Source organism: Homo sapiens, chromosome Y (assembly GCF_000001405.40).
Source record: "Homo sapiens chromosome Y, GRCh38.p14 Primary Assembly".
In the NCBI taxonomy this organism is placed as follows: domain Eukaryota; kingdom Metazoa; phylum Chordata; class Mammalia; order Primates; family Hominidae; genus Homo; species Homo sapiens.
The window spans coordinates 15,568,158-15,580,215 of NC_000024.10; positions in this window are offsets into that span (position 1 = coordinate 15,568,158).

Consider the following 12,058-nt stretch of genomic DNA (forward strand, 5'->3'; position numbering starts at 1 on the left):
AACCCACAATACACTATTTCAAGCTGATGCTTCTTTTAACTTTTTTTTTTTTTTTTTCAGCATTAGCTGAGCCACTTTCATGGTGGATCAGGCATCATGCTAGTTATTGGAGATATTCAATAAGATCCAGACTCTGGCTTGTACAGCGTATGCTTTGGTACATAAAACACACATATCTAACATCTAATATTTATACTTAGACATATCTAAATGTATGTAGACACACCTATCCTTTAATCTCTATATACATTAGGCCTAACTAAAGTCTAATATATACATACCTAATGTCTATGTTATGTGACAGACATTACATGACACACAGTATTGCTGATTTCACAAAGTGATATGATACCCAAAATGATGTATTAGTTCTAAGGGTTGGAACTCTGCAGCCAAACCTGCAGTGGATGTGGGTTGAAGGTACAAGAAGAGATGATGCCTTAGCCAAGAAGGTAGGGTGTATCAGAGCTTACATGCAAAGATATGAAAGAATAATATAGGGAATGCTTTTATCTAACAATTTGTTTAGAAATGTTGATTATCTTCTGTGTTTCCGGCATTGGGCCAGACACAACACTAAACATCAAACATGGTGTCTGCCTTGAAGGAAGTCATGTTGCAGTAGGTGGGTGGGTAGGTGATGGCGTGAAGCCTAGAAGACTGGTGAAATTTGATAAAGGTGCTGACACTTGTATGCACAAGATACTAATGACACAAAGGGAAAGAGAGCCTCACTTGGCGGTGGTTCCCAGGAATGTTTGCAAAGGAGATGTGGCTAGAAATGAGGTCACCAGTGGGTCTGTGCATCTGCTCTTATTCTCCTTCTATCTGTTTCTGCCTTTCCAACCCCTTGCTCTCTTTCAACATGCTGGAAGTGAGAAGAAGCAAATAGCTTGTCATGCAAACTGCAATTTGCTCAGGAAGGCCAGACTACACGACGCCTGAAGCAAAGAGAAAGAGTGCTCTGTAGCATATCCTTTGGGCCGCAGGTACCTTATGAAACGATATACTTCTATTTACATATGCATGTGCACATCTGGAGTCCTGTGACAGGCTGAACAAATGGGGGAAGGAACTAACTCCTACATCTTTTTTGACCTGGCACCTAGCACAAAAAGATGCCTGTTGCATCTGGATGACCTTTATAGGCTTCTCAGACATCCTCCCAGCCTCTTCCTTTAGGTCTCATTGTTACATTGCTCAATGCATTATGCATTATCAATATGTAATGTGGGTTCTATTAATGAACAAATGTGTTTAATCTGAACAGGAATAACCCCAGTAAGCTATCACTCTTTCAGCCCTTCTCTGTGTACTACGTTATTTTAGAGTAACAAAAAGTGGAAACATGTACTTCTCATATATGAAGACTTGGTGTCACTGGGCTGAACTAGGATCCACTCAGCCAGTACAGTAGGGCCAAACATCCACACCAAACTTTTGCAGTGGGGGAAAGGAAGGTATCTATTTGCAGAGTTGCAATCAAGTAGAATGAGGCAGCTCTCACTTAAGATTCTACTTCCCTGATGGTTTGCAAACAAAGGCTTTTAAAGGCTAGGAGGCAGAGGCTACAGGCAGTCATAAGTCAGTACATGGAGGTTATATGTTCGTTTGACCTCAAAAGGCAGGACATCCCAAAGAAGGGCACCTGCAGGTCACAGGTGGCTTCAAAGCTTCCCTGATTTGCAGTTGGTTGAGGAAGTGAAGCTTTGTCTGAACGATTGCTTTGGTCAGCAAAAAACAAACAGGATATCTGGCCTGTGGTCATGGCTTCTTCCAGGACCCTTGAGAAGAAATTTGGAACAAAGAATGTCAATGAGAGTTCAGTCCTCAGTTCCTCCTCACCTCTGGTTTAAGTCCAAGCAGACTGCATTTTCCATTTGGTAGCATTCCAGGTTTCTGAAAAACAACCCCTGGACATATGTTAACATGTTATCTTTAATTATTATAGGGAGCCAAACATTCTGTGGCTCTAACTTCCTTGTCTGTGGCTTTACACTACCATTACCTTCTTGCTCATTTATCTTTTAAAGATAGCTAGGTGCCTGGAATTTTTCTTGAAGGAACTCAAGATTTTTCTCTACTTCCATTCTGGGGGGAGCCCAGAAGACCCCTAAGAGGGGTCCTTGCTCCATCTCATCATTGTTTCAGTGTTATTTCCATGAGGCTATGGCCTATGAGGAGAGAGTTGTTTTTATTTCATGTTGTGGATGCCAGTGTCTCTAAAGACTGGAGTTCCAGGCTGCATTCCACACTCTCATTCATCTATTTATTCATTCTCTCTCTTACTGTCTGTTCAGTTCCAAAACAGCTTAGCAGCTGCCAAGGAGGAGATGTGTATATAAATCACAATGCTAGAAGTGGTTAGAGAGTAATAGTTTCTTAAGAAGGGTACATATATTGCAAAAAATTTCTCCCATTCTGTAGGTTGCCCATTAACTCTGATGGTAGTTTCTTTTGCTATGCAGAAGCTGTTTAGTTAAATTGGATGCCATTTGTCAATCTTGGCTTTTGTTGCTATTGCTTTTGGTGTTTTAACATGAAGTCCTTGCCCATGCCTATGTCCTGAATGGTATTGCCTAGGCTTTCTTCTAGGGTTTTTATGGTTTTAGGTCTAACATTTAAGTCTTTAATCCATCTTGAATTAATTTTTGTATAAGGTGTAAGGAAGAGATCCAGTTTCAGCTTTCTACATATGGCTAGCCAGTTTTCCCAGCACCTTTTATTAAATAGGGAATCCTTTTCCCATTGCTTGTTTTTCTCAGGTTTGTCAAAGATCAGATAGTTGCAGATATGCGGCATTGTTTCTGAGGGCTCTGTTCTGTTCCATTGATCTATATCTCTGTTTTGGTATCAGTGCCATGCTGTTTTGGTTACTGTAGCCTTGTAGTACAGTTTGAAGTCAGGTAGCATGATGCCTCCAGCTTTGTTATTTTGGCTTAGGATTGACTTGGCAATGCAGGCTCTTTTTTGGTTCCATATGAACTTTAAAGTAGTGTTTTTCCAATTTTATGAAGTTTTGTGAAGAAAGTCATTGGTAGCTTGATGGGGATGGAATTGAATCTATAAATTACCTTGGGCAGCCTGACCATTTTCATGATATTGATTCTTCCTACTCATGAGCATGGAATGTTCTTCCATTTGTTCATATCCTCTGTTATTTCGTTGAGCAGTGGTTTGTAGTTCTCCTTGAAGAGGTCCTTCCCATCCCTTGTAAGTTGGATTCCTAGGTATTTTATTATCTTTGAAGCAATTGTGAATGGGAATTCACTTATGATTTTTCTCTCTGTTTGTCTGTTATTGGTGTATGAGAATGCTTGTGATTGTTGCACATTGATTTTGTATCCTGAGACTTTGCTGAAGTTGCCTATCAGCTTAAGGAGATTTTGCGCTGAGATGATGAGGTTTTCTAGATATACAATCATGTCATCTGCAAACAGGGACAATTTGAATTCCTCTTTTCCTAATTGAATACCTTTTATTTTCTTCTCCTGCCTGATTGCCCTGGCCAGAACTTCCAACACTATGTTGAATATGAGTGGTGAGAGACGGCATCCCTCTCTTGTGCCAGTTTTCAAAGGGAATGCTTCCAGTTTTTGTCCATTCACTATGATACTGGCTGTGGGTTTATCATATATAGCTCCTATTATTTTGAGATACTTCCCATCAATACCTAATTTACTGAGAGTTTTTTGCATGAAGAGTTTTTGAATTTTGTCAAAGGCCTTTTCTGCATTTTGCAATCCACTCATCTGACAAAGGGCTAATATCCAGAATCTACAGTGAACTCAAAGAAATTTACAAGAAAGAAACAAACAACCCCATCAAAAAGTGGCCGAAGGATATGAACAGACGCTTCTCAAAAAAAAAGACATTTATGCAGCCAAAAAACACATGAAAAAATGCTCATCACCACTGGCCATCAGAAATGCAAATCAAAACCACAATGAGATACCATCTCACACCAGTTTGAATGGCAATCATTAAAAAAATCAGGAAACAACAGGTGCTGGAGAGGATGTGGAGAAATAGGAACACTTTTACACTATTGGTGGGGCTGTAAACTAGTTCAACCATTGTGGAAGTCAGTGTGGCAATTCTTCAGGGATCTAGAACTAGAAATACCATTTGACCCAGCCATCCCATTACTGGGTATATACCCAAAGGATTATAAATCATTCTGCTATAAAGACACATGCACATGTATGTTTATTGTGGCACTATTCACAATAGCAAAGACTTGGAACCAACCCAAATGTTCAACAATGATAGACTGGATTAATAAAATGTGTCACATACCCACCATGGAATACTATGCAGCTATAAAAAATGATGAGTTCATGTCCTTTTTAGGGATATGGATGAAACTGGAAACCATCATTCTCAGCAAACTATCCCAAGGACAAAAAACCAAACACTGCATGTTCTCACTCATAGGTGGGAACTGAACAATGAGAACACATGGACACAGGAAGGGGAACATCACTCACCGGGGCCTGTTTTGGGGTGGGGGAGGAGGGAGGGATAGCATTAGGAGTTATAGCTAATGTTAAATGACTAGTGCAGCACACCAACATGCCACATGTATACGTATGTAACAAACCTGCACATTGTGCACATGTACCCTAAATCTTAAAGTATAATAACAACAAAAAAGAAGAAGTGTACATATAAAAGGCTGTGGAGACTCAGGGCAGGGAGAAGTGACCCCTGACTGACAATCCCAGAGAGGCTTCATGGGGCAGAGAAGGAAAGACATCACATTTTGCAAAGATAGTTTGGTAGGGCTCAGACACACAAGAGGTATGGGTCAGAAAGTGAGCCTTGAGGGTCTTTAATGATGGCTGGGAACCCATGTTTTATCATACAACCCCACAAGTATGTCAGGAATTATTTTTTTTAAAGAAATGTATTGGATATATTAGAAAAAATGTTTTGCTTGAATGTTGGAGATACCATCAATATGTGACACTATTAATGTCTCAGTCACTGTTCCACCACTGCTCTATTGCAAAATATTATCCTTTTATCAAACATAGTTCAAATTAAATTTACAGTTAAACATTGTTAAAATACAATGCCCTAAAAATAAGGTGGGGTTTCCTTCTAGTTATGGGAAGTAGGCTTCTGAGTGTCAAGACATCTTGTTCTCTAAAGCTGCAAACTCAAACACACACCTATGGTTTATGCAGACACAGAGAAATCACGGGATTTAACACCTGTTCAAAATAGCTTCCTTTTCTGAGTAATCACAACTTCTACTCTCCATCAAAACCCCTCAAAGATTCTTTTCTATTGGAACTTTTTTTTTTCCTTTTGAGAAACTCTTGCTCTGTTTCCCAGGCTGGAGTGCAGTGCAGTGACCTCTACATTTGAACCTACTGATTCCACTGCATTCCTAACTCAAATCTGTTTCCCTACTGAAATCTACAGGATTCATCAAATGACAGATTGGATAAAGAAAACGTGGTGCATGCATGCAGTGGCTCATGCCTGTAATCCCAACACTTTGGGAGGCCAAGGCAGGTGGATAGCGAGGTCAGGAGATGGAGACCATCCTGGCCAACACTGTGAAACCCCATCTCTACTAAAAAAAAATAGAAAAAAAATTAGCCTGGCATGGTGGTTGGTGCCTGTAGTCCCAGCTACTCGAGAGGTTGAAGCAGGAGAATGGCATGAACCCGGGAGGCAGAGCTTGTAATAGCCGAGGTCGGGCCACTGCACTCCAACCTGGGCGACAGAGGGAGACCCTGTCTCAAAGAAAAAAGAAAAAGAAAGAAAGAAAAAGAAAAAAAGAAAATGTGGTATATATACAACATGGAATACTATGCAGCCATAAAAAGAATGAGATAATGTCTTTTGTAACTTGGATGGAGCTGGAGGATATTATTCTTAGCAAACTAATGCAGGGAAAAAAAACCAAATACCACATGTTCTCACTTATAATGGGAACTAAATGATGAGAACTTATGAACTTGTAAAAGGAAACAACAGAGACTGGGATCTGTTTGAGCGGGGAGGGTGCGAGGAGGTTAAGGAGCATAAAAGATCACTGTTGAGGACTAGGCTTAATACCTGGGTGATTAAATAATTTGTACACCAAACCCCCATGACATGAGTTTACCTATGTAACAAACTAACCTTCGCATGAATCCCCAAATCTAAAATAAAAGTTAAACATAAATAAAATTAAATATACCAGACTTCCTGTTAAAAAAAAACAAATCTATGGGCTAATTTGATAGAATAGCTAGGATTAAATCATCCTTCTATTAAATTCAACATGTTATTCCTTTTAATAAGAGGGGCATTACATGTCTGCTGCAGTCTATGTTTAAAAACAATTATTTAATATTACAGGGGTAACTGAGTAATAACAGGACAGTTTCATTTTTTATTAAGGAAATGAGTTTGCAGTATGATTATTCTGTTTAGATTTGGTTATTGGTAAATTTTGTCTTTGCCAAAATGTTCTAGCATAAAGTGAAATTGGGAAATAGAAGTAGGGTCAAATGTGTATTTTGGATATAATTCTAGTCAAAGTTTAGAAATCTTGGCAGTAAGTCCTTTATAGAGTACTTCCTAAAATATTTCCCTCTGAGACCTTTCTAAAATAAATTTTCTTCTATTGTCCACATGCTTTGAATGATTGTGTCAACCTAATAAAACCAATTTTCTAAGGAATAATTTATCTTCCCATTTAATAATTAAGAAATCATTGTCTCCATTAGGGCTTCCAGTTAATTTGACAGTGTTCCATACCATGTGATTATGATTTTCATAGACAGCAAGATAAATAAGTAAACCACAGAACAACTCATACCCTGTGACCCTTTGTAGCTGTTAAATGTAAAATTTTCCATCAGAGCTGTAGACATTTGAAAATGTTCACGTTGCTTCTTTGGGATCTCAGGAGTAGAAACCATTGCTTTAAACTCACAGAGGATTTAAGATTTTGACGCAATCCTGAACTCTTTCTGGAAAACTTGCATTATGGCTCAAGCATGTTCCCGCACCCTGGATAGGTATTGGATATACTTGGATCAGCCTGGTGGGTGAGTCTTGAGAGGATACTTCATTTTGCACTTGTATCTGTGTCAAGGCAGTGGAACAGAAAGGAGTTCAAGTCAAAAGTCCTGTGAATTGCAGTGTCTTATTGAAGGAACAAGTTGTACCATACCCAGCTTCACTTGTTTAAATCAGAGTTATAAGCCTTTGAGACTCTCTTTGCATAGAGAAGTGGAAACATATTCATGGAATTTCCTTCTCAACCTTCACAGCAGCTCCTTCTCACCTGATCCACCTCTTGATATCAATGTTGGACATCTCTGGGACTCTGTCCTGTGGCCCCTGTCCTCCATCCTCCTTTATCTTCACACTTGCCCTATCTGATGTCATCTAAATCCAGGACCTCATATGACATCCAACTGCAGGGCATCCCACATACTGAGCTGGGAACCTACTGTGAAGGTCCATGTTGCCATGTCCAGCTGCCCACTTGCCACACAGCATGGAAGCTCAGGAAACATGTCATATCAAACAGATACAAGCTAGACCTCAGATGCAAACTAGCCCAAGCCCACACATCCCCAGATTTGCATGATCTTACTGAATGTTTTATGCAGTGACTGAACCTCAGTGCTGTGATGTTTGCTGGTTGATTGTCTTGTTTTATTTTGCCTTTCTTTAAATCCTATGTATCCCATCCTTTGGAATCACATTTATTTTCTAAGTTTATCTGACATTGGTCCTCTTTTTTCAGCTGTATCAATTTTCCATCTTGTCCAGACCACTGTGCTCTGCCCTATGGACTTCTCCAATGTGCTTCCTGGTGGTCTCCCTAATTCTTTGTTCTCACACTCCATTCTCTACCCAGACACTGGAGTGAGCTTTCATAAACATAATGTACTCTGTTGAATTTCTGAGGACTGACATAACTGTTAGTACCACAAACTGGGTGGCTTAAAAGCAGTAGAAATTTTTTCTCTCTCAGTTCTGGGGGCCAGGAGTCTGAAAGTAAGGTGCTGGAAGTGCTGGGCTCCCTATGAAATCTCTAGGGGAGAATCCTTTGTTGTTTCACCATTAATTCTTAACTTTCCTTGACTTGCAGATATATCACTCCAACTTCTGCCTCTATTTTCACATGGCTATCTTCCTTTCTTCGAACACTCAAATATCTACCAGGCATGGTGGCTTAGACCTGTAATCCCAGCACTTTGAGAGGCTGAGGTGGGTGGGTCACTTGAGCTCAGGAGTTGGAGATCAACCTGGGCAACATCGTAAGTCCTTGTCTCTACAGAAAATATGTAAAAATTAGCTGGCTGTTGTGTTGAACACCTATAGTCCCAGCTACTGGAGAGGCTGAGGTAGGAAGATCACCTAATCCCAGGAGTTGCAATCTGCAGTGAGCTATGATTACTCCACTGCACTCCAGGCTCATCAAAACAGTGAGAACCCTCTTTCTACAGAAAAAAAATAATAATAATACATTAACCAGATGTGGTGATATACATCTGTAGTTCTAGCTAGTTGAGAGGCTTAGGTAGGAGAATTGCAATTCTGCGGTGAGCTATGATTGCATCACTGCACTGAACAATAGAGCGAGATCCTGTCCCCAACAAACAACAAACAGAGAAAAAACAAACAACAACAAAAAAAACCTCACTCCAATTTCTTCCCATACACTCAAAATACAATGTGAAGTCTGCTACCCCAACTGTACAGTTTTCTCCTCCTCTCTTCATGTTTTTGTCTGGGGCCCCCAACCCATTAATCTTGTTCTCACTTTAGGGTCTTTGTGTTGACAGTTTCTTCTGTTAGAAACTCATACTCACATCTCATCTCTGGATGGATTTTCTCTTTCACTCATATGTTGCCTTTGTAAGGTCTCCCTGGACCACCAAATCAAAAGTCCTTGGCCTCTCCCACCACTCTATTCTAATTGCTTGCCTATCTGATATCTTACCTGTTTATTATTTTATTTGCTCATAGTTCTTCTCCTGTGGAAGCTGAGATCTGGGCTGCCTCATTCACCACTGTGTCCTAGTGCCTTGAATACCCATGGAGTAAGCATTCAATAAGAATCTACTGAATGAATAGGGTTATAGTTTGGCTGCGTCCCCACCAAAATCTCACCTTGAATTATGGATCCCATAATCCCCACATGTTCTGGGAGGGACCCAGTGGGACGTAATTGAATCATGGGGGTGGGTCTTTCCAGCATTGTTCTCGTGATAGAAAATAAGTCTCATGAGATCTATTGGTTTTATAAGGGGCAGTTCCCCTGCATGTGCTCTCTTTCTTGCTGCCGTATAACACTTGTCTTTGTTCCCCCTTCAACTTCCACCATGATCATTAGCCCCTCTGCCATGTGGAACTGTGAATCCATTAGAACTCTTTTTCTTTATAAATTACCCACTCTTGGGTATTTATTCATAACAGTATGAAAATGGACTGATATAAACAGTGAACCCTTCTCAGATTTCTCTTTCTCTGTCTCCTTCTCTCCTTGAGTATTTCCTCTCTTTTTCCTAAAATACTATCCTTTAGATGGGATCAGAATAACTTCCTTAAGATTTCCTTTTTGCTGAGTTTAGAGTTGTTTGCCTTTGCCTTATTGTAAAATATTTCCTGTATTCTCAGAAAAGAACAGTTAAAATTCTATCTCTGGCTTCATTTCCATCCCTCTCCCAAATCAAGGTCACTCTGAAGAAGGCTCTTCCTCCCTCTCTTTTTCTCTGCCTACAGACAAGTAATAAATGTCAGTGGAATGGATAGATGAACTCTATAGATGTCTTCTGCAGAAGTGTGGGGTGGGGGATCACATTTTTCAGAATGTTCAAGAATGCAGACTTTTTTTCCATGTGCAGAGAAATGCTTTTAAAATTCCCTGATGGCTGCGTGGAAGGAACTGCTCTTTGTGCATGTTTTTACTTTAAACAAAAATTCCAAACACATGGCTTGGGTCCATATTGCTTATGGGTTGCTTCTTACAGTCACTGCTTTTGGCATCTCTTTCCCTCATGCAATAACACATCTTTCAGAGAGCAATTGATACTTTCATTATGAAAAAAAAATAGTAGTGACTGGCTCTAGTAGATTATTACAAGGTAGTTATGTTCAAATGATGTTGGCAAACATTGTCATTGGCTTCCCAAGAGTAGGCAAAGCTGCCGCTTCATGATAGTATCAGTATTTAGTCCTCCAGCAGGTATTCACAGCTTTTCACCTTTGAAAGAAGATCACATCAGTCTCATTTATCTGTGCATGCATTCAGTTGAATTTGACAGACATGCAATTATATATTGATTCTATAGAACATACCATGCATATGCCTAGTTGCTGGGCTATATAGGATAATTTTGAAGGATTCTTTGAACTGATATCAACAGGTCATTTTTCCTTATTTTTGCCCTCATAATAATTGAGTAATATGTGGTAGAACCTAAAAAATCTCATTACATTACTCATCTGCAATTCATACGTTTTAGTCTCTGGCATGAATAAATCAAGGAACGTGAAAATGTAGCATCTTGGGTGAGAAAACATTTCGCATGAATTATCACATGCTTCAATGTGGTTTGCCTCAATTCAGAGAATCAGTGTTATTTCCAGGTAAGGAGATTCAAGGAGAAAAAATGAAAAACAGAATATTACATGAACCTCTGCCTAGATCAAGCATAAGAATGACTAGCATATGCTCTTGCCATTAACAGTTATTTGACCTGCTGTGTGGTAACATTCAGAAGGACAAAAATAGAAGCCTTGTTTGCAAGCAGCTGTTTCTGTCAAGTCTTGGAGTACATTGTAAGAGAATCCTCTCTATGCTTGCCTGGAGAGATTGAGTAACTCAGCCATCATCCTTCTATTATGGGAACACAACCACAACATGCCATCAAGATATTTAAAGTGTGAATTGGACAATTACTGTAACAAATTTTAAACTTAAACCAGACCAAGACTTTTTCTCTGCTCATAAATTTTCAGGAAAAATAATTCATACTCCTTCACCTGTTTTTCTTTTTCTTTCCCCCATATTCCATTCTCCAACTTTCCTAAGTTTATTTCTACTTTGAAACCCAAATCAAAATCTATTTTGATTTTGGGCAGATTTTTACCTGGGCAGATTTTCCCAGGTAAAAGACATTTTCTGTTGGCACTCAATCAATTACCTGTGGATGTATCTTTTTGGGTTTTCTTTTTTGTGTGTGTGTGACAAGGTCTCACTTTTTCACTATATATAGATATAGATATACAGATATAGGGGGAACTTCTTCCCTTATATATTGCCCCCAAGTGGGCAATTTGTGTATATCAAACCATTAATGAAACTACTCCTTTTTCTTATATAGGAATCACTTGTTTTGTTGTTAAATTTAAAGTGAAAATGGTGTGAGTTTGATCAAGTAGAAGGATAAGCAGGTGAAAATTCTATGAGTTTGATGGGTCAGAGGAAAAGAAGACTATAATTCACACATTATGATTTCTCACAAAGCTCTGCTTTCAACTGCCTGAATGAACGATGGCAAAGTAATTAAACTTCTCATTTGTTGGTTGTGATCTCTGTGAAGCAGGAATCACAATGTCTCTCAGAGAATTACCTTCAGGTGATATTGAAAAGATAAAATAGGGGAAGAGTTTTAGCTTTCATAGGAGGCCATTACAGTATCTAGAACACATGATGTGAACTTCCATGATAATCTTCCCTAAGTGTCTGTACATATGGAACATATGAATGTCTGCAAAAGGCAGAGCCTGCCAGCAAGAGAAATTCCATCTACAGTCTTCAGTTGTAAGAAATAATGTTTTAACTATTCACAATAGCAAGGACATGGAGTTAACCAAAATACCCATTGACAGTGGACTGGATTAAAAGAAATGTGATACATACACACCAAGCAGTCATATAAAAGAAAGAGATCCTGTCCTTTGCAGCAAGATGGATGGAGCTGGAGGCCATTATATTAAAATAATTAATGCAAGATCCTAAAACCAAATACTGCATGCTGTCACTTATAAGGGGAAGCTAAATTTTAAGTACGCATGGACACAAGGAAGG